General features: G+C 40.5%; 1 protein-coding gene and 1 long non-coding RNA gene across 23 annotated transcripts in view, besides 2 other annotated features; one reads left to right on the top strand and one right to left on the bottom strand.

Moving 5' to 3' along the window:
- The window catches only part of ZNF420 (zinc finger protein 420), a 122,467-nt gene that overhangs the window by 45,549 nt on the left and 49,122 nt on the right, over positions 1 to 27,796 (bottom strand). For 7 of the 22 annotated variants that reach the window (XM_047438229.1, XM_011526507.4, NM_001329517.1 and 4 more), the window contains exons 1-2: positions 6,250 to 6,598; positions 4,432 to 4,475 (exon numbers count right to left, since the gene is read on the bottom strand). The gene's annotated coding sequence lies outside the window, so the exon portion shown is untranslated. Of the gene's footprint in view, positions 1 to 4,431; positions 4,476 to 6,249; positions 6,599 to 27,796 lie in introns of those variants that run through there. The other 15 variants (NR_138039.2, NM_144689.5, NM_001329521.3 and 12 more) reach the window with 4 other exon arrangements.
- Positions 6,312 to 6,551: an enhancer, noted in NCBI's record as "active region_14538". NCBI's record gives its function as "activates an Ori minimal core promoter by ATAC-STARR-seq in GM12878 lymphoblastoid cells {active_cell/tissue: GM12878}" and the evidence as "EXISTENCE:reporter gene assay evidence [ECO:0000049][PMID:35858748]".
- On the top strand, positions 6,623 to 19,918 carry LOC105372390 (uncharacterized). The gene is made up of 2 exons (XR_001754095.2): positions 6,623 to 6,722; positions 8,515 to 19,918. It is a non-coding gene; the product is annotated as an uncharacterized LOC105372390 (long non-coding RNA).
- Positions 6,642 to 6,931: a silencer, noted in NCBI's record as "silent region_10553". NCBI's record gives its function as "represses an Ori minimal core promoter by ATAC-STARR-seq in GM12878 lymphoblastoid cells {active_cell/tissue: GM12878}" and the evidence as "EXISTENCE:reporter gene assay evidence [ECO:0000049][PMID:35858748]".

The following is a 27,796-nucleotide window of genomic DNA, read 5'->3' as shown; positions in this document are numbered from 1 at the left end:
ATACAATTCTATGCCAATAATTTTGGCAATTTCAACAATATAGACAAATTCCTTAAAACAAAAATTGCCAAAATTCACACAAGAAAAAACAGAAATACAAATCATCCCATGGATATTAAAGAAATTGAATGTGAGAAACAAACAAATAAACTGTCCACAGAGAAGGCCCAGATGGCTTTACTGGTAAATTCTACCAATATTTAAGGCAGATATAATACTGTTCTTTCACAAACGTTTTCAGAAAACAGAAAAAGGAGACAGCAGTCTGTTCTACATTTTGAGGCCAAATAACCATAATACTAAAACCTCACAAAGATATTACATGAAAAAAGTTACAGCTCAATAGCTTCTAGGAAGACAGACATACAACAAAGTTATAAAGTATTACCAATCAAATCTATTTGACTTTGGAACCACAAGTATGTTTTCTATAACTATAATCACAAAATTAAATCAAAATGAAAAAAAATCTCTAAGAAATAAAAGCAAAATGAAACAAACTTATCTGTGCATAAAGCTGGAAGGTTAAACATATAAAGGAAGTGATTATTTTCGGGAACTTTAAAATACAGTCATTTGACATTAGACCCAATATAACCTACAAACAAAATAACTATAAACTGTTTTTCAAAGTTGTCTTAAGAGTTTATAACTTTATGAAGTTATGTCTTAGAGTTTTTCAGTAGTTATACTGTTATTAATAATATTGGCATTGTTAGTCTAAAAGTAATATATGTATATAACCTGAAATGATTATACACACACATATATCAGTGAGAATCTTAATATCATTAATCATTACGAATTAAGATTTTTTCAGATTATAAAACACAAATATAAAATCAAAGATAGTAAGAAAAACTCTATAATCTTTTATTTCAATTGGAAATATCAGTATACACTCAGGATTTTTTTTCTCCTTCTAAAAAATTTGTATTTCACCAGCTCTGTTAAGGCTATAAGCAATGACAACTAGGAGCAATGAGAGTTCCTACTATCCTTGTTGTGACTTCTTAAAAGCACTTCTTATAAAAGGAACCAGGGCTCCATAAAGAAGTGGCTGATTTTATGTTTGGGACAGGAAATTGTACAAAATGAGCCTGGAATACTCTGTCAGCACGGAAAGTCTGGAATCTGCCAAAGACTACTGGGGTCATGTCAAAAAGAATAAAAAGGAATCCAAAAGCAGACAAATCAGAGAGGGTAAACCTTCCACTTGCCATACATGGAACAATGTGAGCATTAATAAGAACAGTTATTGTCACAGATCGAAACATAACAGATATGTTTTAATACACAAGTTAATAATAATAGTTTAAAAGAAAAACACAGAATAAGCTTTGAAAGATGCTGAAAAATAATAAGAGAAAAACCAATCTTTCATTCCAGTTTTTCTTTTTGCATAAACTATTCTTCAGGTAACCAAGACATTGAGAAAGGATGGCTCCCTTTATAGATATAGTCCAGCTAATAAATGCAGAAGAATTAGAATATAATTCTGTAACCACTGATAAAATAACATATTCACATAAAGATGTCAGTAGCTGGCTGTTAACATCACATAAAGGAAAACAACCAGATACTATGCCCTACTTCAGAGAAGTGCACATCACTATGTATGATGGATTACTAAAATAAAAAAAAAAAAAAAGCAAAAACGGGGCCAGGCATGGTGGCTCACGCCTGTAATCCCAGCACTTTGGGAGGCAGAGGTGGGCGGATCACAAGGTCAGGAGATCGAGACCATCCTGGCCAACATGGTGAAACCCTGTCTCTACTAAAATACAAAAAATTAGCTGGGCATGGTGGCGCGTGCCTGTAGCCCCAGCTACTATAGAGGGAAGAAAGGAGCAGGTAGAGGGGACAGAAATGGACACTAGACTTCTTCAAATTCATCTTATTCTGTACTTTTGATTTTAGATATATGTTATGTAATTTTAAAACAAAATTAAATCATAGTGGGAGAAAAGCAATCCCTAAACATGAAAAGCAATATAAAACAAATGAGCATAACTGCATTTCCAGCTGGCAGCTTAACCATACGAGAAGTGTTATTGTAGACGACTTTTAAACACAGTAATTTGATTATAGATCCCTAGTGGGCTATATCCTGTCAAACTCCAACAGGACTTTATGTTGTTTTTCTATATTCATATGGTTGGTTAAAATATTGGTATTGTTATTTTGAAACTCTGTCTCAATCCAAAAGAAGGCAGAAAAGGGAGAACAGGAAATAAAGAACAGATGGGATAAATATAAAACAAATGGCAAAATGATGGATTTGAACCAAACCATATCAATAATCACACTAAATATAAATGGACTAAATACTCCAATTAAAAGATAGAGATTGCTGGTTGGGTGTGGTTGTTCACACCTGTAATCCCAGAAATTTGGGAGGCCGAGGCAGGCAGATCACCTGAGTTCAGGAGTTTGAGACCAGCCTGGCCAACATGGCAAAACCCCGTCTCTACTAAAAGTACAAAAACATTAGGTGGGTGTGGTGGTGTGTGCCTGTAATCCCAGCTACTTGGGAGGCTGAGGCAGGAGAATCACTTGAACACAGGAGGCAGAGGTTGCAGTGAGCTGAGATCACACCACTGCACTCCAGCCTGGGTGACAGAGTGAGACTCTGTCTCAACAACAGTAACAACAACAACAAAAAATGGAGATTGCCAAATTGAATAAAAACACAAACCCAATTACATGCTGCCTGTAAGAAATGCACTTGAAATACCAAACACAAACAGGTTAAAAGAAAAAGGATAGAAAAAGACACACAATGCTAATATTAATGAAAAGAAAGCTGGAATGGCTACATTAAATATCAAGCAAAGTAGATGTTTGGAGCAAAGAATATTATGAGGGACAAGGAAGACCATTTCCTAATGATAAAGGGGTCAATTCACCAGTAGGATGTAAAAATCTAAAACCTTTCTATACCTAATAACAGAGCATCAAAATACATGAAGCAGGCCAGGCACAGTGGCTCACACCTGTAATCCCTGCACTTTGGGAGGCCGAGGTGGGCAGATCACCTGAGGTCAGAAGTTTGAGACCAGCCTGGCCAATATGGTGAAACCCCATCTCTGCTAAAAAAAAAAAAAAAAAAAAAAAAATACAAAAATTAGCTGGGCATGGTCGTGCCCGCCTGTATTCCCAGCTACTCGGGAGGCTAAGGTAGGAGAATCACTTGAACCTGGGAGGTGGAGGTTGCTTGAACCTGGGAGGTGGAGGTTGCAGTGAGCCAAGATTGGGCCACTGCACTCCAGCCTGGGTGACAAAGCAAGACTCTGCCTCAAAAAAAAAAAAAATACATGAAGCAGAAACTGAAAGAAACTACAAGGAGAAAAATCCAACAAATAAAAACTCAGTAAAGATATGGAAGATTTAAAAAATACTATCAACCTACCTGACCTAGTTGACATTTATAGAACACTCCACCCAACAACCACAGAATATAGTCTTTTCAAGTGCACATGGAACATTTACTAAGATGCATCAAATTCTGGGTCATAAAACAAATCTTAATAAATTTAAAAGGATTAAAATCATATGAAGTATATTCTGTGAACACAATGTAATGAAATTAGAAATCAGTAACAAAAGATCTCTGGAAGATCCTCAAAATATTTGAAAACATGACACATCAAAATAACCTATAAGTCAAGAAATCAAAGGGGCAAATTAGAAAGGATTTTGAACTGAAGGTAGAATAAATGAAACAAGATTGGAAAGTAATCGCTTTTTTTTTTTTTTTTTTGAGACAGAGTCTCGCTCTGTTGCCCAGGCTGGAGTGCAGTGGCGCAATCTCGGCTCACTGCAAGCTCTGCCTCCCAGGTTCACGCCATTCTCCTGCCTCAGTCTCCCGAGTAGCTGGGACTATGTGCATCCACCACCACGCCCAACTAATTTTTTTTTTTTAATTTTTAGTACAGACGGGGTTTCACCTTTTTCCAGGATGGTTTCGATCTCCTAACCTCGTTCCATCCGCCTCGGCCTCCCAAAGTGCTGGGATTATAGGCATGAGCCACCACACCTGGCCGTGATCGTTTTTAAGCTAGGCATATTCATTATACTTTTGTGTACATTTGAAACTTTCCATAACAAGCTAAAAAAAGTTAAAAAATCAAAATGGTGCTGTATCAGAAATAACACAATAGAGCTCTTTCCCTTTTTAAATAACACAATAGAGCTATTTCTCTCTTCCCCTTTTTAAATCCATGAGTCTCAAATCCATTCTTCGTAAATTTAACCACTATTGGGGAAGCATCTATCCCGATTAATGGCACATTTTCTTTGCTCTCAATCTACCAAAAATTGCCTTGCCCCTCTATCATTTGAGAAGGCAAGAAATTTCAAAAAGAAAACAAAAATGTCTATGTCCTGTAATAACAAAGGTATTTCAGGAAACAAAGAGGAAATACTCACCTTGGACATTGCTACTGAAACAGCCATTCTTTCTCCTCTGGGCTCTACTCTCAGAAAAAGAAAAATGGAATGAGATATTAGGCCTTTCTTGGGGAATATGCTAAATTATAACATACCCTCTTCCTCCATCCTCTTAATCTCATTTAACATAAAGAAAAGTCAGGAGGAGACTAGAATAAGTCTTCTACCTTCTGTATCAGAAAGAAGGGCCAGGTCACAGCTGTCTTGGGCTTGAATTTATTTCTGTATTCAAAGCTGTACACTGGAGACAGTCCTGCAGTGGGGTGCTTCAGGTTCAGAACTGGGTGGCTGTCTCCTAAAGCACTCCCTCTGAAACTATTCCCACTCCTGGAGTCCCATTATATTTCCAGTGGCCTATTTATTTATTTATTTAGAGAATGAGTTTCACTCTTGTTGCCCAGGCTGGAGTGCAGTGGCTTGATCTTGGCTCACTGCAACCTCCGCCTCCCGGGTTCAAGCAATTCTCCTGCCTCAGCCTCCTAAGTAGCTGGGATTACAGGCATGCGCCACCACGCCCAGCTAATTTTGTATTTTTAGTAGAGGTCATGGTGAAACCATGACCTCAGGTAATCCACCCGCCTCTGCCTCCCAAAGCGCTGGGATTACAGATGTGAGCCACCGCGCACAGCATCCAGTGGCTGTCTTGAAGGTATTATCAGCCCTAAAATTCTCATCCTAAGACCAGGTCTGTAACTTGCAAATAACTCCTATTCATCACTCAGGTGTCCAAATGTCTGACTTCCTTACTTCTTGCCACTTCCCTGCACCCAATCCCCTTAAGGCTATAAGGCAAGAGGACGCAGGGAAGAAGTCGTGAACTCGTAAGTAACTACATTTCCCAAGGTGAACCGAGGATGGATACAGAAATGAAGCAATACAGGCCATGGATGAAAGGGCAGCCACTGTGGTCAAATCAAAAAGTCCTTAAGTCCTCAGAGCCACATGGGAGGAGCACAGAGCCACATGGGACTCACAATCCATAGGCAGACCTCAGCCCCAAATGAACCCCAGAAATACCAAAAAGAAATTTACTTCTGTACTGGACTAAACCCCCATAAGGTCACAGAATATACAAATGGCCACATAAAGTCACACATAATCACATTTCCACAGTTACACAGCTAGAGGCACAATCACCCAATTATGCTACATTGTTAGACCACCTTGTCTCAAACAAAATCCCATTAAGTACAAGGCATATAATTACATCCAAGCACCTTGTCAGAGACACATACCGCCAAAAACACCCTTTCAAAGCTGCAATTTTAGTCTCTTTACACAGTCATGAAAACAGCACACACAACCCCACAGTCACACACAATCAGACAGTCACCCAACCCAGTACGAAATCAGGGAAACACGCGGTAATAAACACCGTGTCACAGCAACACTGTCACACACCTTAAATTTACTGGCAAATCCATCCCACGATATCAGGTTTACACACAACCTCAAAGTGACACAAGAACATCCAAACACTCTTGTCACAACTGTCACACACTTCATAGTCACAGGCAAACCCCAATTATACACGCGGCACACATAAAATCACAGTCACATAAGTATATCCCAGCCAGGTAAGCAAACAGTCACAAACACCCTCAGAGTCACAACTCACACTCATACAAATGCTCATACACAAAACCACAGCCACACACGTCCAGTCGTGTATGCACAGGCAGTCGCCAATACCAGGCAGGCTGTAGCCTGCACACAAAACCGGAGACACGGCCACACGAGTAACCCCAGCGACGCTTTCTCCGCGCGTGTCCGCTCCGGCATCCCGGACACTCCTACCTTGACAGAGGTGCAGTTCAGGGTCCAAGATCTGGCTCCCGGGTTCCAAGCCCAATTTCGGGTTCGCCAGCCCAGCAGGTGCGGAGCCAAGCTCCTCCACAGACGCGGCCCTCTCCCCACGCGAGGCCTCCAAATCTCGCAAACTAACGGAAATGAAGCTACGCTCCGGGAGCGGTGCCTCTGGGAAATGTAGTCCAGCGCTCCGGACGCCGTGCCTCTGGGAAATGTAGTCCAGCGCTTGGCTAGCCGGCCAGAACGCCAGGAGGCCCGGGCCGCTCACCCCTCGAGGGGCTCGTGGGCTCGGCCTGTGGAACCTGCTTGTCCCGCCTGCAGCGCCCCGGAGGTTTCTGGGAGTGCCCGCCCGCCCGCGCTCAGTGCGCAGGCGTCAGACGCTCAGGGCCTGCGAGAGCGAGCTGAGTGGTCCCAGGGTCTACCCCTGGCAGGAGAGAGGGTGGGACCCGCCGGCCAGGCAGGTGCGGGGGAGGAGCTGGGGCCGGTGCGGGGACCCGCCGGAACCTCGGATTTGCAGAGGACCCTGTGTGTGCCCTCCCAGGCCCTTGGGGTGTGTGTGACAATGGGAGATGCCAGGTGGACTGAGAGTCTTTCCGTGGCCGGGTGTGTATGGTTGTGTTTCTGCCTGTGTGTGATTCTTCCTGCTGTGGGGTGTGAGGTGATTTGTACTTTAAGCTGCGTAGTAATGGGATTTTATAACTGTGTAGAATCGTCTAACAGAGTAAGACGATTTTACACAGATCTCTATTGTGGTTTGCTTATGAAGGGTATCTGTATGTATATCTGCTTTTTTGTGTGTGGCCGTAATTGAGTAACTGGTGATCTGTGTTATATAAACGTGCTTTCTTTGTGCTTGTATTTCAGTGTCTGTAAGGGTGCCAAGAGCAAATGAGCTGTGTGTGATCGTGTGTGACAGTGAAAATACTATGGCCAAGTTATTTCTTCCTTAAATAGTAATGTAATAATCTGGAAAAGATAATCAATTTATCTGACAAGTAATTTAGACATCATTTTTCTATTGGATCAAATATATGTGTTATCGGGAAGAATCCAAAATTAACGTAGTTTTTTCTTTGTTTTTAGAAAGATTATTTCAAAACCAGTCCTAGGGTAACTGCCTTTTCCTCTGCCACAGCAGGCCAAAAGTAGATATCCATTATTTTCTAATTAGAGGGTAAAGTTTCTCTTATTACTGGGTACGGTTGAGAGGCCATCAACTAATAAAATAATAAAACAACGTTATACATAAGAAGAGTGAATTTTAGCACAGTACAGCACTAGTCAGATTTCCCAAATTCTAGGTCAAACACTTGTCCTCATTTTCTGATGAGAAAACCTTGGCCGGCAGAAAGTAACTTAAGGCTGTAGAGTTTGTTGGTAAACCTGAACTTATTTTTACTTACTTCAAGACCTCTTGGCCTTTTATGATTTTTGAATAATCAAAAACTTGTGAACTTCCAGCACAGAGAAGATAGAGTATAATTTCACCACTCCTTCAGAGGGAAAAAAATTAATAAAACTTGGTCTTGCAAGACCATATATCAAATACATTGATCTCTTACCGGTAATGTGACTGGAATAGCAAATTTGGTGATCAGAATTCTTGAGGGAATGAACCTGTGTGTGTGATCAGGCATAGCTATGTGAAATATAGATAATTAAATTGCACTGAGTTAGAGTGGGTCAAAGTCAGGCAAGAATTATGTCCAATTCACATGCACACGTATGTTTATTGCGGCACTATTCACGATAGCAAAGACTTGGAACCAACCCAAATGTCCATCAATGATAGACTGGATTAAGAAAATGTGGCACATATACATCATGGAATACTATGCAGCCATAAAAAAGGATGAGTTCATGTCCTTTATAGGGACATGGATAAAGCTGGAAACCATCATTCTTAGCAAACTATCGCAAGGACAGAAAACCAAACACCACATGTTCTCACTCATAGGTGGGAATTGAACAATGAGAACACTTGGACACAGGGTAAGGAACATCACACACTGGGGCCTGTCAGGGAGTGGGGGTAGGGGGAGGGGTAGCATTAGGAGATATATCTAATGTAAATGATGAGTTAACAGGTGCAGCACACCAACATGGCACATGTATACATATGTAACAAACCTGCACGTTGTGCACATGTACCCTAGAACTTAAAGTATAATAAATAAATAAAAATAAAAATAAAAAAGAATTATGTCCAATTATATATGGGAGATATATACTGGGTTTTGTTTTTTTTTTTAGGAGGTGACAGACACATTCTGGTTTCAAATTGAACAGCATGCATTGATCTTGAGCCGCATCTGTGTGATTCTGGGTCACTACTTTTGGCTTTTGAATAGTTACGATGAGTGCTTGCAAGAAAAAGGAAGCTATCACTTAAAAGTAAAAAACAGTTGTTCACCTGAGATGAATAGATTCCATGTGGATGGGCTTCTTGTATATTAAACTTATGACATTTTATATGTGTTGATATGTGATTTTTTTAAAAAAAGTATAGGCAGCTTTTCAGATTCACAAAGAGGTACTTTAAGCTAAAAAAGGTTAAGACCATCAGAAACGTAGACTGCAGGAACTGAGAAGGATTTGTTAGAATACTATGTGATATAATTAGTATAAAAATAGTATATATTTTATAGAGGGATACACACAAAACTCCTGCTAATGGTAACCTTTAGGGAGAGAAGAGAGGATTTAGGGTAAAGGGGGAGAAGTAAATGTCAAAGGGAACTTAAGCATTATAGGTCATTTCTCTCCCTCTCTCTCTGTTTTTGTTTGTTTGTTTGTTTTTGTTTTTGTTTTTGTTTTGAGACAGAGTCTCACTCTGTCGCCCGGGCTGGAGTGCAGTGGTGCGCTCTCAGCTCACTGCAACCTCCGCTTCCCGGGTTCAAGTGATTCTCCTGCCTCAGCCTCCCGAGTAGCTGGGATTACAGGCGCCTGCCACTACGCCCAGCTAATTTTTTGTATTTTTAGTGGAGACAGGGTTTCACCATTTTAGCCAGGCTGGTCTCGAACTCCTGACCTCGTGATTTGCCCACCTTGGCCTCCCAAAGTGCTGGGATGACAGACGTGAGCTACCGCGCCCGGCCTCTCTCTCTCTTTTAGCAAGGTAGCATCACTCATATATTTAAAATTTAATTTTAAAATATAAAAGTCAATAGAGACGTTGGTTTTGGAGCAAGGAAGTGAGCCAAGGAACCTAAACTGTGGAAGCAGACAAAATCCAGAAAAACTTACACCTTAGGAAGACTGCAGAGAGAAGGGAATAGTAAGGCAACAAGTTTTCATAGGCCTGAGGTGTCTTGTTTGTTTATGAAATGCCAGTTTCATATTTATGTCCTTATAACCCATTTTGACCTTGCTGACCTTTAAGGATTAGTTATCTCTTCAGCCCAGTTACTGGATTCAGCTCCGTTATAGTGTCTGACCCTGGACAGCATTGGTAAGTATGTTCTCTTTCCTGGCACTGGATTATTTTCTTTGAGAGTCTTTGTTGATGTTGGCAAATGATTTTGAACTTCTTCCAACAGATTAGGTTTATGCCAGTACGTATGAGTCTAGCATTTAATCAGCAATCCCAAAAAAGTATCTGAGGCACTCTGATATAATTACTTTTCCCTAAGTGTTTATTTTGAAAAATGTTAAAGCTACAGGAAAATTAAAAGAATAATGATTTGCACTGTGTATCCTTTACTTAGATTCACCAGTTTTTAACATTTTGGACCATTTGCTTAATCTCTGTCTGCATGTATTTACATATTTTTGTTTATTTTTTGTTCACCATTTATGGGTAAGCTGCAGATATTATATATTTCACCATTGAGGATTTCAGCACGCATCTCGAAGAACAAGGTTGTTCTCCTGCATAACCTCGATATCATGAATATACATATAAATTTTAACAATGATTCATAATATTATCTAATATATAGTCCACATTTAAATTGCCCTAGTGTTTCCCAAATGTCTGATATGTGTATTTAAAATATCCATCCTGGTCCCAATTAAGGTCACACATTACAGTAGGTGGGCCTATCTTTTTAATTTCTTTAATCTAGAACAGCATTCCCCCAGCCTGTTTTTGTATTTCATGACATTTTTTAAGAGTTGAAGGGTCCAGAATATTTGTCTTGTAGAATGCCTAACATTCTGGATTTGTTTGATTGCTCTGTCATAATTAGGTTAAGTTTAAATATATTTGGCAAGAAAACTATGAATGCTGGTGTGTTCTTCCTATTGCATCATATTAAGTGACACATAATTTCAGTTTGATCCATTACCAATGATACTAAATTTTATTACTTTGGTTCAAGGAGATGTGCACCTGATTTCTTCATGGTAAAAAAATACCTTTTTTTCTTTGAGGCTAAGAAGTAATCTGATGGGGATATTTTGAAACCATTTCCCAAATAGCCTTTTACCTGATGGTTTTAATAATCATTAATGATTCTTGTCTAAATCAGTTATTAAGTTAGGAGTTGCAAAATGGTGATTTTTAATTTTACCATTCCTTCTTGTATATAAAAGAGCTTTGCCTTTCCACCCTTTCCCTCTATACCTCTTTATTTTTTCTCTTTTGAATATCACTATGGCTCATGGATTTTTATTTTTTGTCCAAAGTACTTTAGCCTGTTATCATCCTCTGTGTTGCTCAAATTGTTCCAAATTGGCCTGTAAGAACCCCTGACGCTGGTGCCCGTGTCCCCATTTGTCTTTGAGCACTTCCTTACTTTTTGACACAGGTATTTCTTTTTTTTCCTTTTTCTTTCTTTCTTTTCTTTTCTTTTTTTTTTTTTTTCTTTTTTCAGGCAGAGTCTCGCTCTGTCGCCAAGACTGCAGTACAGTGGCATGATCTCGGCTCGGCTCACTGCAACCTCCACCTCCCGGGTCAGGCAGTTCTCCTGTCTCAGCCTCCCAAGTAGCTGGGATTAGAGGCACCTGTCACCATGCCCGGCTAATTTTTTTATATTTTTAGTAGAGACAGGGTTTCACCATGTTGGCCAGGCTGGCCTCAAACTCCTGATCTCAAGTGATCCACCCGCCTAGGCCTCCCAAAGTGTTGGGATTACAGGTGTGAACCACCACGCCCAACCTGGCACAGATATTTCGTACTTATATTGTGCATTCCCTGTCCCAGACTTGGAATTAGCCACTTTGTGAGGAGAATTTTTGAGATGATCTTTTCAATGTATATTCTCAACAAAGAAATAGTTAAGTAATTTATAGTACACAGGGAGCAGAATGTTATGCATCCAATAAACTTAGGATTATAAATTTTAAATTAACAAAATGAATCTTAAAATTTTACGCAGTATTATGTCAGTGACATTTTTCTTTTTTAAAGAGATGGGGTCTCGCTCTGTCACCCAGGCTGGAGTGCAGTGGTGTAATCATGGCTCATGGTAACCTTGAACTCCTAGGGTCAAGTCAACCTCCCTCAGCCTCCCAAAGTACTGGGATTATAAGCATGAGCCACCCTGGCCAGCCCTAGGAAAAGAAAACTTTTAAAACCACCAGTGGTATCACAATCAAAAGATAAACACATATCTTTTCAAATGCCATTAAATATTTGTACAGTCATATCAAAAACATCACTTACTACATACTATTTTGTAATCTGTTTTTTTCATGTTTTAAAACAAAATATTGCAATAAAATGCATATACCTTTTAAATGTTCATAATATTTAAAAAGACATCATTAGTATTTTGAAATAATGACAGAAAACATTTTGAATATTACAAAATTAAAATTTGTTAATATGATGTATTTTAATTGGAACATATTAAAGATTACATAGTGTCTATTGATCATCATAATCCTTTTTAACCATTCTACTGTTGTTGGATTGAGAATCCTGAAATATATATGAATAGTTCCTCATTCACAATGGCCATCTATGTCATGAATCTTGACCCTGGCTTTGTGTGATTAACAATTTTTCATTGCAGTGGCCAGTGACCTTCAAGACTTTTCCTAAAAGGAGTAGAGATAACTGAATTCAGAGAGATTATTTACAGATTTTATATTGGAAACTAGAAGAATCTATCTGGCTAGGGAAGGACATCTTCTCCCCCAAATTAAAATTTACAATCTGGAGTATCTTCTTCCTTTGTGAATCCTGTGGATTCTGTGTGCTTGCCTGAATTTTTGTCCCTTGTTCTCAGAAAATAATTAGAGCTTTGCAGAATCGTGTGGAGGCAACTCTGATTGTAGCTTTCTTTAGCCCTTCCTAGGATGGCCTTGCTTCCCTGACAACCATGGAAATGGGTCTTAATTCCACAGCCAGAGTCTGACCAATTTCTTATCTTTTACGATATGCAAGATGGTTTCTAAGTTTTTAAGCCCATTATAATTTCCTTATCAGATAATGGGAAAGAAAGATATGGTTAAAAAAGAAATGAAAGAGTCTTGGTGAGGGAGGAAGAATCAGGTAGAATGAAACCGTTGGTTTTTCAAGCCCAGTTTTTCAGTCAACAGAAATCATATTTTACAATGTTATTCGAGTATTTGCCTTAGAGGCTCCAGTCCATTGGAGGAAATTGAGTCTACTTTATTATGACCTACCAAAAGAATTTAACCTTCACCCTGTCTTTTAATTAAATTCGTATGTTTCAAAGATAGTTTCTATTAAATATAGAGTAGATACAAAATAATATTTATGAAGTATATGTATTTTTTTAATTCTCAATACAGCAAAAACCTGTGTACCAACTACCTTTTTTAAGAAAGAAAATATTTATTTTTTTGAGATGGAGTCTCACTCTGTTGCCCAGGCTGGAGTGCAGTGGCAGGATCTCAGCTCACTGCAACCTCCGCCTCTTGGGTTCAAGCGATTCTCCTGCCTCAGCCTCCCGAGTAGCTGGGACTACAGGTGCGCACCACCATGCCCAGCTAATTTTTGTATTTTCAGTAGAGATGGGGTTTCACCTTGTTGGCCAGGCTGGTATCGAACTCCTGACCTCAGGTGATCCACCTGCCTCGGCCTCCCAAAGTGTTGAGATTACAGGCGTGAGCCACCACGCCCAGCCAAAAGAAAATATTAACTACTAACTTTGAAGACTCCTAGACATCTATTCCCATTTCTATCCCCTTTTCCTTCAGACATAACAATTATCCTGAGATTTATGTTTATAATTCTCTTGCTTTTCTTTATAGTTTCAGCTACTTACTCCAAAACTATGTTGTTTATGGATGTTTTTGAGTTTTATATAACTATTTCATATATCATTCTGTGACTCGCTTTTTTGTCAACATTATGTTCCTGAGATTAAGTAGTGTAGCTATAATCCATTCATTTTTATGGTACAGTATTCCATTGCTTGACTATATTACAGTTTTTAAAATCCATTCTCAGTTGATAGAAATGTGAGTTGCTTCAAAGTTTGAATTTATAGTTCTATTACGAACATTCTTGTACATGTTTACTGATGGACATGCAGAGGCTGTTCTAGGGCAAGGGTCATCAAACTTTCTTGTGCAAAGGGACATATAGGAAATATTTTAGGCTTTGCGGGCCATACAGTTTCTGTCACAACTACTCAACTCTGCCATTGTATCATGAAATCACAGCCATAGACAATATGTAAAAGAACGAGTGTGTTCTAGTGAAACTTTATGCCAAGGCAGGATCTAGCCTGTGGGCCATAGTTTGCTAAGCCCTGTTCTAGGATATATATGAAGAATATATTACTGAACACAGAGTACATATACCATGCAAATATTCTCAACTTTACTAGGCAATATGCAATATTTTCCAAAGGGGATTTTCCAATGTATACTCTTTACTAACATTTGAAATGCTCAGAATTTTAAGTTCAGGTGATTCTGGTAGATGTATATGCAGTAGAATCTCATTTTGGTTTTAATTTGCATTTCTCTGCTTACTAATAAGGTTAAGATTTTAAAGACTTGTTTATTGGCCCTTCCTCTTCTGTGAAATGCCTACTGAAACCCTTTGCTCAATTTCTTTGGGTTGTCTTTTTATTATTATAGGACTTTGTAAAAATATTTTGGATGTTTATTCTGTATCAACTATATGTGTTGAAAATATCCCAGTTTATAGCTTGTCTTTGTTTACAATAGGGATCTTTTAACAAATAGAAATTCTCTGTTTTAATGTCAGATTTATGAATTTTTTTCTCTATGGCTTGTACTTTCTTGCATTTTAAGAAATCCTTCTCTATATCAAAGTCATAAATTTAGCTTCATATATTATCTTCTTAAAGGTTTATAGTTTTGCCTTTCACAATTTTTTTTATAAAATCTCTTAGAATTCATCTCTGTAGTAAGTTAAAGGAGAGATACAATTTCTGTGTTATGTATGTGTGCATATACCAGTTGTCCCAGAATATGCAAAGACCAACTTTTTCACTTATCAGTAGTCATAAATTGGATTATTATATGTGTATGGGACATACAACACATATGTATGTGTCACATATGTTGGGAATTCATTATTCAATTATATTGGTCAATTTGTTCCCTGTGCTATTTCCATGCTGTAGCAGTTTTATAATAATTTTTGGGATATAACACAAAAATCTATTTGAGACTTTATTAATCCTCTCCATAATATAACTATTTTTCTATTTCTTGTATTGTTTTGGTCTTTATTATTTCCTTGCTTTCACTTTCCTTGGATTTATTCTGCCATTGTTTTCTCACATTTTTAAGCTGGATGCTAGATATTATCAATTTTTACACTTCTAATATAAACTGGTAAGGTTATAACTTTTCCTCGAGGTCCAACTTTAGCTGCATCCTACAGAATTTTATATACAGTCAGTCTCCAACTTACAATGGTTCTATGATTTTTTTAACTTTATGATGGTGTAAAAGCCATATGGATTCAGTAGAAACGTATTTCAAATATCCATACGACAATACTGTTTTTCACTTTTAGTTCAGTATTCAATAAATTAAGACATTCAGCACTTAATTATAAAATAGGGTTTGTGTTAGATGATTTCATCTAACTGGTAGGTAATATAAGTGTTCTGATCATGTTTAAAGTAGGTTATGCTAAGCTGTCATGCTTGGTAGGTTAGGTAAAAGCATTTTTGACTTAATGATATTTTCAACTTGTGATGGGTTTATTAGGGCATAACCCCATTGAGTCCAGGAGCATCAGTATATTAAGTAGTAATCTCATCATTCAGTTTTAAATACTTTTAAATTTCTACTATGATTTCTTTTAACCATAAATAATTTAGAATTATATTTCTTAACTATATAGGTCTTTCTAATTTTCCTTTGATGACATATATCAAACATAGCTACTTTTGTGGGCAGTGAAAGTACGGTATATAAAACTAGTCCTTTGAAAGTTTTCGAGATTTGCCCGATAGGCTAATACGTGTCTAAGTTTTCTAAATATTCAGTGTGTCTTTGATGAGAATTTGTCTTTTGCAGCTATTGTGTATAATAGTAACTGTTTTAAAAATACATAGCCATTAAATAAAGTTGTAATTTTTGTTGAAATCTATAATCTTACTGATTGTATCTCTTTTATCTATCATTTACTAAAAGAACTATGTATAATATCTCGCCATATCTGTAAGGTTATTTTTCCTTGTAGTTTCATTAATTTTTGGTTTATAGTGTGTATTTTTAGTAACTTAAGCTTGCAATTTTTATATCTTCATGGAAAATTGAACATTTCATCATGATGCAGTTAGTGATCACTTTATAATAATGCTCTAGTCTGTTTTATCTGACACTAATATCACAACACTAGCTTTCATTTGATTAGTATTTTCCAAATGTTTTTTCTGTTCTTCATTTTCAGTCTTTCTATATGCTTCCCTTAATATACTTCTTGAAAACAGATTTTAGTTACATTTTACTTATTTATCCAATCAGAGATGTACTGGCATATTTTTATTTATTTATTTATTTATTTATTTTGAGACAGAGTTTCACTCTTGTTGCCCAGGCTGGAGTGCAATGGCACAATCTTGGCTCACCACAACCTCTGCCTCCTGGGTTCAAGCAATTCTCCTGCCTCAGCCTCCCGAGTAGCTGGGATTACAGGAGTCCACCATCACGCCTAGCTAATTTTTGTATTTTTAGTAGAGACAGGGTTTCTCCATGTTGGTCAGGCTGGTCTTGAACTGCTGACCTCAGGTGATCCGCCCGCCTCAGCCTCCCAAAGTGCTGGGATTACAGGCATGAGCCACCGCGCCCGGCCATTTGTATTTATTTCTATGATTTTATTTTGTGATGTGATGTATATGTAACTTTAATGTTTCATTTCTTTCCTTTATTCTTTCTTCAGTTTGGTTCCCCCTCCCCAACCTTTTCTGCTACTCTTTGGGGTAATATGCATTCTATTTATATTATTTTAGTACTTTTGCAAAATATTTAACAGGACATACTTAAGTTATCAATGTGTGAACAAAACATTTTTCCTGCCCAGCAAAATAATGATGTTAGAATACTTTAGCACCAAGCATTGTTTCTACCAACCTACATGCTATCTTTGTGGTATAATCTGGTTATATATCTATATGTATGTGTGTGTGTAAGTGTATATATATATATACACACACACACTAATATATATTTTAAAAATACCACAGCAATAGCTTTTAAGTTGGTAGAAGTGATTAGTGTTGAAGTATGCCAATGTCATTGGCAGGAAATAAAAATACTATTTAGACTTTGATAACTTAAGTATATCCTGCTAAATTATATTGTAAACATAAGCACCAAAATAATGTACACACACATATGGAGACATTATTATGTTTTATGAGCTGAGTGTTTGATTACACACCAGTTTACTGCTTTCTTTGCTTACCTCTCCTTCTTGCATCACTTTTCTTCTACCTGAAGTGCATCTATCACAGTTTTCTTCAGTGAGGATCTATTGTTGAAAACTTCTGTCTTTATTTGTCTAAAAACTTCTAATTCTTGAAAGATATTTTTGCTGAATGTAGAATTATAAGTTGATAGTTTTGTATTTTCACCATTTTATGAAAATTTCCAAACATGTAGAAATTAAAAGAATTGTACAAAAATACCCATACATTCGCTATCTAAGTACTATAATGAATATCATGCTGTATTTGCTTTACCAAATAATTAGCCTTGTATCCAGCCCTGTATTCATCCATAAGGATGAATTGATCCATTTTTTGTTGTATTTCAAAGTTAGTTGTAGACATCGTATACTTTACCCCTAAATACTTTAGCATGCATACCACTAACTAAAGTTCAATATCTAGTTACAGCTTTTTAGGTAAAATGTACATACAGTAAAATTGTGTAATCTTAAATTTACCATTTGAAGAATTTTGACAGATTCAAATACTTGTGCAAACCAAAATCCTGTCAAAGTGAAGAAAAATACCATCACCCTAGAAAGTTCCTTCATGCTCCTTCCTAGTCATTTCCCACTCTATATCCAGAAACAACTGCCATTCTGATATTTTCCCATTGTAGATTAATTTTTGTCTCTTCTAGAACTTCGTATAATTGGGATTGAAATATGTGTTTTTTGTATGTAAGGCTTCTTTCACTCAGTATAATGTTTTAAAAATGTATCCATGTTGTATGTGTGGGTGTTTGTGGTATACTCAATAGTTCTTATTGCTGAGTTGTATTCCACTCTATGATTGTATCACAGTTTATTCATATTCTTGTTGAACTTTTGTGCTATTTCCAAGTTTTTGGCTATTATGAATAATAGTGTCATAAACATTCTTGGACATGTCTGTTTATGAACATCTGTTTTCATTTCTCTGGGGTAACACCTAGGAATGGAATTGTTCAGACACAGTGTATAGGTGTATGTTCAGTTTTATAAGAAACTGTCAAACCATACCCAAAGGGATTGCACCATTTTACACTCCCATTAACAAAGTATGAGAGTTTCAGTCTCCCTACCTCTTTGCCAACATTTGGTGCTGTCTTTCTGGCTATATATCTCATTACTGTCCCACAGTATTTTTAATTTACATTTTTCTAATGACTAATGATGTTGATCACTTTTTATGTACTTATTGGCAAAACATCTTTCTTTGTGAAGTATCTGGTCAAAATTTTTGCCCATCTTTAATTGGTTTGTTCATCTTTTTATTGTTGAGTTATAGAAGTTCTTTTTTTTTTTGAGACAGACTCTTGCTCTGTCACCCAGGCTGGAGTGCAATCTCGGCTCACTGCAACCTCTGCCTCCCGGGTTAAAGCAATTATCCTGTCTCAGCCTCCTGAGTAGCTGGGACTACAGGCGCATGCCACTATGCCCAGCTAATTTTTGTATTTTTAGTAGAGACGGGGTTTCACCATATTGGTCAGGCTGGTCTCGAACTCCTGACCTTAGGTGATCCACCCGCCGCAGCCTCCCAAAGTGCTGGGATTACAGGCGTGAGCCGCCGCGCCTGGCCGAGTTATAAATGTTCTTAGTCATATTTTTAACAGTGTCTTTTGATGAGTAAGAAAAACATTTTTGATAACATTTGTCAATTCTTTTTCTTTTGCAGTTTTGCTTTCTGTGACTTAACAAATTGTCTACTGCCAGGTTGGAAATATGTTTACATATTTATTCTTTCTAGAAGCCTTAGAGTTGTAGCTTTTTATATTAGTTCTAGGATTTATGTTAATTTTTGTTCATGGTGGCAGGTAGGGGTTGAAGTTCATTTATTTCTTTTTCTGTATGGATATCAAGTTGTTCTAGTGCCATTTATTGAAAATGCAAATGGTATTTTCAACAGTGGAGGTCTTTGGCACCTTTATTGAAAATTAAGTGACCACTGTACGAGTATTTTCTTGTATCAAATTACCACAAATTTAGTGACTTAAAACAACACAAATTTATTAGCTTTTAGTTCTGTAGGTCAAGAAGTTCAGACCTCACTGAACTAAATTTAAAGTGGCAGCAATGCTGCATTATTTTCTAGAGGCTCTAGGGAGAATCTGCTTCCTACTCATTTAGGTTAATAGGCAGAATTCAGTTTCTTGCATCTGTAAGTCCAATGTCTCCATTTGCTTGCTGGCTGTAAGCCAAGGGCCATTCCCAGCTTCAAGAGGCTGCCACATTCCTTGGCTCACGGCCCCCTTCCTCCATCTCAAAAGCCAGCAATAGAGGGTCAAGTCCTTCAAACATTGCATCTCTCTGATCCAGCTGGGAAAGTGTTGGGAAAAAGCTGAGGGTTAGGAGAAGCTGAGGCAGGGCTTGCATGTCTGACATAATGTAAAAGAGTCTTGGAACATGTCCGGGGTCCAGGGTCTAAAACCCCTTGTGGCCTTTGGAACACCAAGCTCTATGCTAAAGGGTGGAAGCCTACCATCATGCACCATAATCTAAGCCCAGGGCATAAAATCCCTTGTGGCTTGGATAGAATCCAGGGCTCATGGCTCTGGAATGTATCTAGACTTGCTGGCTCCTTGCTCCTTGCTCTCCCAGGATTGATTGTATCTTGAGTTAAAAGAATCTGCTCTCCATTATCTCAAGTAGAGCAAATGCTAAACCATCACAGCTGTAAATCATGTACTTAATGCAATGTGCCCTTTTGACCTCCACATTCTCACCACCTGTTTCTTTGTTGGATTACCAATAAATAGCATGGGCTCCCAGAGCTCGGGCCTTCGCAGCCTCTACGATTGTGATGGCCCCCTGGGTCCGGTCCCACTTTTCTCTCTCAAACTGTCTTTTTCTCAATCCTTTGACTCCGCCGGACTTTGTCACCCCCACGACCTGGTGTTGGGTCTGATCACCCCAACAGGAAAGATTCTTCATTTTCCCTTCTCTTCCTAATACTGTAATCCTAAATCCATTAGGGGCTGAGCAAGCTAGGCATACATGCCGGTGCAGTTACTTAGGCCTAAAGCACTGCACTGTAGCTTGAGCACAATGAGGAGGTATCTATCCAGGGAGAGTATGGCGGCAGTAATGGGATAGTGGCTTCTTCTAGGGGGGACTGATCAAATATGTTTCATATACATAAATACACACATAAAATATATATTTTACTACTATTATTATTTCCTCTGATAAAAATCTGCGTTCTTTGAAGAAATGATTGATTCCAGTGTTGGGCACAGCAAATACAAGATGAGCCTGGAACATCTTTTATATGTGTAAGTAAGGGGCGCTCAAAGAATGATAGGAACCTGTTAAAGGCCGCAAAACCCACACAGGAGGGGCTCCCACTTGCCAAATCTGGAGCAAACTGGTCATTAAAATAAGTAATAATAGATTACAAACCTCTGAATGAAATAGGAAATCACAAGTCTATACTGACATAAATTAATAAATTGAAAGTTTGATGAAGAATGGTGTGTTTACATAGTCTCAGAGTACCTCCCCATAAAATCTTTACTAATTACAAAGGAAAAAAAGAGTAATTTTACAGTAGAGAAGCCTGGCTGGTATATCTTAGTGATTAAGATGTAATGCTCTTTCATCAAGGAGTATTACCAGTAATAGGATAGAATGTCATCATGTGCCCCTGATAGGAGCATGCATCACTTTTGTGGCATTCTTTCTACAACTCGGAACCTTATCATGAGGAAACATCAGAGAAAACCAAATTGGAAGGAAATTCTTCAGACTGGCTTATAATAATAAAAAGTGTCAAGGTTATAAAAGGGCAAGACTGAGAAACTGTATCAGACTAAAGGAGATTAAAGAGACATGACATCTAAAGGCAATGCATGATTCTAAATTTGTTCCTTTCATGCTATCCAGTTAATGGCACAATTGGCAACACTTGAATCTGATATCGATGGTCATAACAAATAAATGTTAATTTCTTTATTTTGGTAATTGGATTGTGGTTATGTAGGTAGGGGCATGTCCTTTTTGTAGGAAATATGCAGCATTTTGAGGGATGTTGTGGGATCTTTAAGGAATTAGAGCGACTGATGGGGTTCAGGAGGATATGATATTTATTAATTATTTAACTGCACAGTCGGATTAACATCTAAAGGACTGAGCCCTGAACAAAGAGTTAAATTACCTTTTAGGCATTTCGTCGGGTGGGGGTAGGCGGGGGAGGGGGGAGATCTATGCAGGGGGAAGCATACTACAGAAGCGAGAAACAAAGGCACTTATGCAAGTGAGACATGCATTACATCATTTCTTACTTTTCAAGGAAAAACATGTTTTGCGACTTGAGTTTATCTGTCTAGTGACCTTGCAGCTGCACAGCTAGGGAAACCGGGTCTTCACAATGCCTGGGAAAGGGAGAGATAAAGCTCACTAGCCACAGAAAAACAGGCAGTTAATTTTTTAAAGGACTCCAGCTCTTTCTGTTTCTCAGGGGGAATTGGGTTTTCTCACATACAATTGAGTTTTTGCTTACACACTCTTTAATTTCTTTTAATTCCTGTTTCAGGGGTGATGTAGCATTAGGTCAACAATTTACTTTCAAATGGTTCAGTAACAAGAAAGTTCCTGGTGCTATACTTGCAACTTTCTGTAAGTTTGTGATTGGATGGATGGATGGATGGATAGATCGAAGAGTGAAGTATGCAGCTAGCTTAAAAATATCTTCTGAATTATACTTTTAATTTAGAAATAATGTTTAAAAATCCATATTGAAGCTCCATAGGATTTCGTCAGTCATGCTTGTACATATTGGTGCCTGCAAACAGTGTAGTTATTCTTGGCTTTTTGATAGACTTTAAGATTATTTCCCCACAAAGTTCCTCCAGATGATCTTAACTAACTGGAGATTCCTAGTCTGCCTTTCCTAGAGCTGCTAAGCAAGTGGGGTTTTTGATGGCTTATTTTTTCACCCATCCCCTACCTTGGCCATCTCAGGATTCTGCTGTCTCCCAGGAAGAAGAAATGATGAAGTCCTACGTGAGTTTTAAATGATGTATTTATTTTATTATCTTATTCTATAAGGCAGGAAAAGTAGATAACAATAATCTCAACAAAAGATGGAAAACCCTAAGTGGATCAAAATTAGGAAAACATAAGTGATTAAGGAGAAACTTTCAATTAGAAATATACAGAAATAAGTTCATTAAGAATTAAGCTTCAAATTTGAATCTGGCCTTCATAGGAAAAACAAATTAGGACATAAAACTAAAATTAACAAAATTCATTATATAGTTTGCACTGTCTTTCATAAAAAAGCCTATTAATTTCTCAGAGGAAAATAAAAGATTTTCATGGACACGAAGTAAAATACTTTGGCAAAGTTTTAAACTTGTGGTCCACAGCCCTCTCCATATCTTCTTTACTCTGGTCTCAAAAAATGAGATGTTCCTCCTCTTAAATATAATGTCTTTTCTGTTTTTCATCCCATCTTTCCTATGACTTCTAGAACCCTTCCCCACTAGTTAATACTTACACTTAAATATATTACACAGTTCTTTCTTTACTGCCTCATTCCTTTACTTACATGATTCTCCACATCTGAGGAGAAAACAAACACACAACTATTCTGTCCATGTGTCCAGTTAGTTACTTCTAACAGTGTAGAGGTTAAAAGCAAATATTTTAGAGGTTATAAGATGTAGATTTCAATTCTCATTCCACTACTTTCTGTGTGACATGCGCAAATTATAGTTACTGAAATTGTCAGTTCCTCAGTTTTATGACCTAAAAGTGAGGCTAAACACATAGATGAAAGTTTTTTGAGAATTAAAGAGTTGTTAAGTTGCTCAGAGCAATGATTGTCACCATTAAACGTTGAATTAACGTTTGCCTCATTTCTTCCTCAGAAACTCATGACCCAAGTCTTGGTGATTTCCGTCTCATCTTACGTGTATTGTTTCTGTAAGAAAGTCCTCAAAATATGGGATATGTGGATGCCTCAATTTCTTATTTCTATCCCAAATTAAGATATTTTCCCTTATTTTTACATTCCTTTGAAAATTAAGTTTTTTTAATTGGTTTTATGAGAGGCAAAGTTAAAATCTGCTCATCATGGCTCTTTTATAAAAAGACATCTTAAATATTTTCCTTGGCTTCATCATATTGTTTTCTCATGATGCTAATTATAATTATCACTTAAAAACAATTTTCCACTTATGAATTCTTTTCTTTGCTTGTTTCTTAACTGGTACTTGTCCCCAAAACCTGCTTGATATCCTGTTCCGCATAGCATCAGTGAATTATCACACCACACTGCAATGGCTATAATGGTTTCAGTCATCATTGTACACTGATAAATATCAAATTACTCATTTGCAATACAATCCCTACTTGAGCTCCTGAAGAGCATATATAACAGTCTGATGGATATCTTTACCCAGTTACTCTATAGAAGACATGAATTTTACATGTCCAAAATTTTATTCTTCTCTTACTTTTACCACCTTCTGGTAAAAGTGCAGGACACGTGCAAACAGGGAAAGGGGCAAATCCAAAGTAGAGCCAGTGTGACCACACGTGGCACTGGTGTATTCAAGAGCAGATGCTGTGAATGTGTGTCACAGAGGGCATACGGGGCGATGGCGAAACAAACAATGGTGTCCAGGCATGTTCCGGAGGAAGGGGGGCACAGGTGACCTTTCCATCGATGCCAACGAAAATCATAGAACACCTGGGAACCAGGAGGGGGCCTGTGCGTGAGTCCAAGCCACAATTTGAAATGCCTGCTGGAGGAGCAAAGAGGTTCCTGCAAAGTTCACCCCACCCTCAACCCTCCACCGCCCAGGTAGCCCTGACGCAACCTCCCCTGCACCCAGCCCCAGCCCAGTCCCGTTGGTTCCCTGACATTCATTACAGCCAAAAGATTCAGGGAGGCAGTCCACCCCGGAGCGGAGGAGAGGATGTCCCTCAAGAATGAGACAGGAAGTGCAGAGAAAATGCGACAGCGCCTGTCCTAGAAGACAAGGCCAGTCACGGTCGCCTACCGCTCATTCTAGGCAATCCCCCCCACACATGAGGTGAAACGTGGAGACCAAGGTAGCTTCCCTGTCTGAGACACGTATGGGAGCCAAGAGCTCCAGGATCATCAAACCTACCCAATCAAGCAGAAACAGGTTTGGAGAGAGAAACAATCAGAACATGGATCTCCATGAAGTTTCTCCCTGATGGACTGGGAAGTGATCTTTGTTGAAGACATTCAGCCAGACCAAGAAGCATCTAGGCCCCTCAGAAACAGAAGAGACAGAGCAAGAGGGAGGCCAGAGCAGAGGCCAGAGCCCAGGCAGGATACAGCACAGTGCCACCGCCACGGGCTGAGGGGAGGAGTGCCAAACGGGTGACTTGTCCAAAGAGGCCAGCATTCCAGTGACAGGGATCCTTGCCGTGTCCCCATCCCAGCTTCTTCTTTAAGATTGTATCGTGGTGTGGCTTCGTTTCTCAGAGAAGAGACGCGAGGAGATACAACCATCTCCTTTGAGGTCGGTCTACTTCCCTCCTTTAGGACAATGAGCTCCTGGGAGGCTTTTGTCCTTACCTGGAGTGTGGTCATCTTGATTCTAGAGAATAGACCACTCAGGATGGGGATGAGACTTCAGTTGCTCTGGGACCGACGCATCTCCTGAGGTGGTGGAGGCCTTCAAAAACCCGAAGTGCAACCGCCGCGAAAACGAGACAACCAGCCACGTGACCCAGGCAGACGCAGAAAAAGGCTCGCCAACGACAGGCGGACATACAAGAAATCCCTTTTTGGCGCAGGGGGCATATACGTCCCAACACACACACGCTCATGGGCACACACACATACAGACAGAGGGAGAGAGAGAAACAGGAAGTGAGAGACAGAGAAAAGAGAATGGGACACAGACAGACACACATACACATACGCACACACACACAGAGATAGAGTGAGAGAGAGAGAGAGAGAAAGAGACAGAGACAGAGCAGTGGCATAGAAACAGAAATGCCAGGCAACCCCTGAGGCTGCGGGGTTCTGCTCTCCGCAAGAACGACCCTCAGGTGAGAGGGCGGCCCACGAGCACACAGGCAGACCTGTCCTCGAGATCACGGCGGGCACGACTTTTGCGGAGACTCACCCTAACACGTCCGGGCAGGCCTGAGCCTGGGATGCCGCGCCGCTTCCCCCAGACTCCGCCTGTGGTTTCGTCATCCTCGACAGCTCTGTGCGACTCGTGGCATCCGGAGACGTTCCTGTCGACCCCGTGGAGAGGTCAGGCCGGAGCCTCGGAGCCCCGACAGCCAAGCACTGCCACGGAGGGCTCCTGCTTTGCCAAGCCTCAGGGACTGGTTTCTAAGACAACGGTGAGAATCCGCTCGCGCCTCGCGCATGCGCATTGGCGGGGTTGACTCGCGCTCCGCTCCTAGAAGTCAGGCTGCGGCCCCTTGAAACAATGGCGGCGGCGCGGCTGCGCTAAGGCAGGGAAGCTCCTGCTGCAGCCGCGGCGGCGGCTGGATCCGGGGTCCAGTAGAGGGCGGCGTGGGAGAGGGGGCCGCGGGCGTCCCAGGGCCAAACCCCCAGGAGTCCTGTCTTCAGGGCCTCCTTGAGTCGACTTCCACCGGTGGAGGGGGAGCTTCAGGGCGCCTGCTGGGCTCTCAGGACTCCTCTTCAGATCCGATTTTGGATCCCACTGGGTGAGCAGGGATGGGCTCAGGCGGGAGGCATGTGGTGAGGCAGGCAGGGCCTCGCTGCAGCACAGGATGATCTCTTGGGCCTCAAGGCGTGGTATCAGCTGAAAATTCGCTGACCCACGAGCCCTCTGCCTCCCTTCTCCCTTGGAGGAGCTGTGGGCTGCCCCGATTCGCAAAGCCGTGGGGCTGCTGCAAGCCAACACCACTTTCCAGGAGACGTGGAAACAGGGATAGGGCGAGTCCGAGGTAGAGCCAATGAGACCACACGTGGCACTGGCTTCCCTAAGAGCAGATTGGGTGAGTGTGCATTACCGAGGCCATATGGGGTGATTGCGAGACGAACAATGGTGTCTGGGCATGTGCCCGGTGGATGCGGGGGGACACAGATGACCTCCCAGTCAACGCCAAGGAAAAGCATAGCGCCTCTGAGAACCAGGAATGGGCCCGTGCCTGAATCCAAGCCAGATTTTGGGATGCCTGCTCTAGGAGCGGAGAGGTTTCTGCATAGTTCACCCCACCCTCACCCCTCCACAGCCTAGGTAGCCCTGAGGCAACCTCCCCTGCACCCAGCCCCAGCCCTTGCCCTTTGGATCCCTGACATTTGTGAGAGCTGAAAGATTCAGTTCTGGGAGGCAGTCCATCCAGAAGCAGAGGGGAGGATGTCTCTCAATAATAAGACAGGAAGTGCAGAGGAAATGCCGCACGGCCTTTCCTAGACGCCAAGGCCAGCCATGATCGCCTACCGCTCATTCTAGGCAATCCACCCAGCCATGAGGTGAAACTTGGAGACCAAGGGAGCTTCCCTGTCTGAAACAGGTATGGAAGCCCAGAGTTCCAGGATAGTCAAACCGGCCGAATCAACCAGAAACAGGTTTGGAGAGAGAAACAATTATGACACGGATCTCCACGAATTTTCTCCCTGATGGACTGGGAAGTGTTCTTTGTTGAAGACATTGAGCCAGACCAAGAAGCATCTAGGCCCCTCAGAAACAGGAGAGACAGAGCAAGAGGGAGGACAGAGCAGAGGCCAGATCCCAGGCAAGACACAGCACAGTGTCACCGACAGGGTTAAGGGAAGGAGTGTCAAATGGGTGACTTGTCCAGAGAGGCCAGCATTCCAGTGACAGCAGGTATTGTTGTCATCTCCGGTTCCTGGCTTCCTCTTTAAGACTGTATCGTGGTGTGGCTTCATTTCTCAGAGAAAAGCCGCGAGGAGATACAACCATCTCCTTTGACATCGGTCTGCTCCCCTCCTGCAGGAGAATGAGCTCCTATGAGGCTTTGGTCCTTGGCTGAAGTGTGGTCATCTTGATTCTAGAAAAGCCGCTCAGGATGGGGATGAGATTCCAGTTGCTCCGGGACCGACGCATCTCCTCATGTGGTCGAGGCCTTCACAATCCCAAAGTGGAACCACCACGAAAACGATTGACAACCGGCCACATGACCCAGGCAGAGACCAAAAAAAAGGCTCACCAAAAACAGGTTGACATGCAAGAAATCGCTTTTTGGCGCACAGGGCACATTGATCCCAACACACACACCCACACTGGCACACACACACACAGAGAAAGAGAGAGAGAGAAACAGACAGAGAGTGAGAGACAGAGAGATAAGAGAGAATGGGAGACACACACACAGACATACAGCAGTGGCACAGAAACACACAGCCCCAGGCAACCCCTGAGGCTTTGGGGTTCTGCTCTCCACGAGATCGACACTGGGATGAGACAGGAGCCTATGGACACACAGGCAGACCTGTCCTCAAGATCATGGCCTGCACAAGTTTTGGGGAGGCTCACCCGATCCCCGTCCGGGCAGGCCTGAGGCTTGGATGCCGCACTGCTTCCCCTGGACTCTGCCTGTGGTTTTGTCACCCTGGTCAGTCCTTGGAGACTCCTGGCATCCGGAGACCTTCCTGTCGCCCCCGTGGAGAGGTCAGGCCAGAGCCTCAAAGCCCCGACACCCAAGCACTGCCATGGAGGGCTCCTGCTTTGCCAAGCCTCAGGGAGTGGTTACTCAGGCAACCGTGGGACTCACTGTGATGGGAGA

The sequence above is a fragment of the Homo sapiens genome, chromosome 19 (assembly GCF_000001405.40).
Source record: "Homo sapiens chromosome 19, GRCh38.p14 Primary Assembly".
In the NCBI taxonomy this organism is placed as follows: Eukaryota; Metazoa; Chordata; class Mammalia; order Primates; family Hominidae; genus Homo; species Homo sapiens.
The sequence above is the reverse complement of the archived record's forward strand: the minus strand, read 5'-3'. Positions and strand labels throughout refer to the sequence as shown.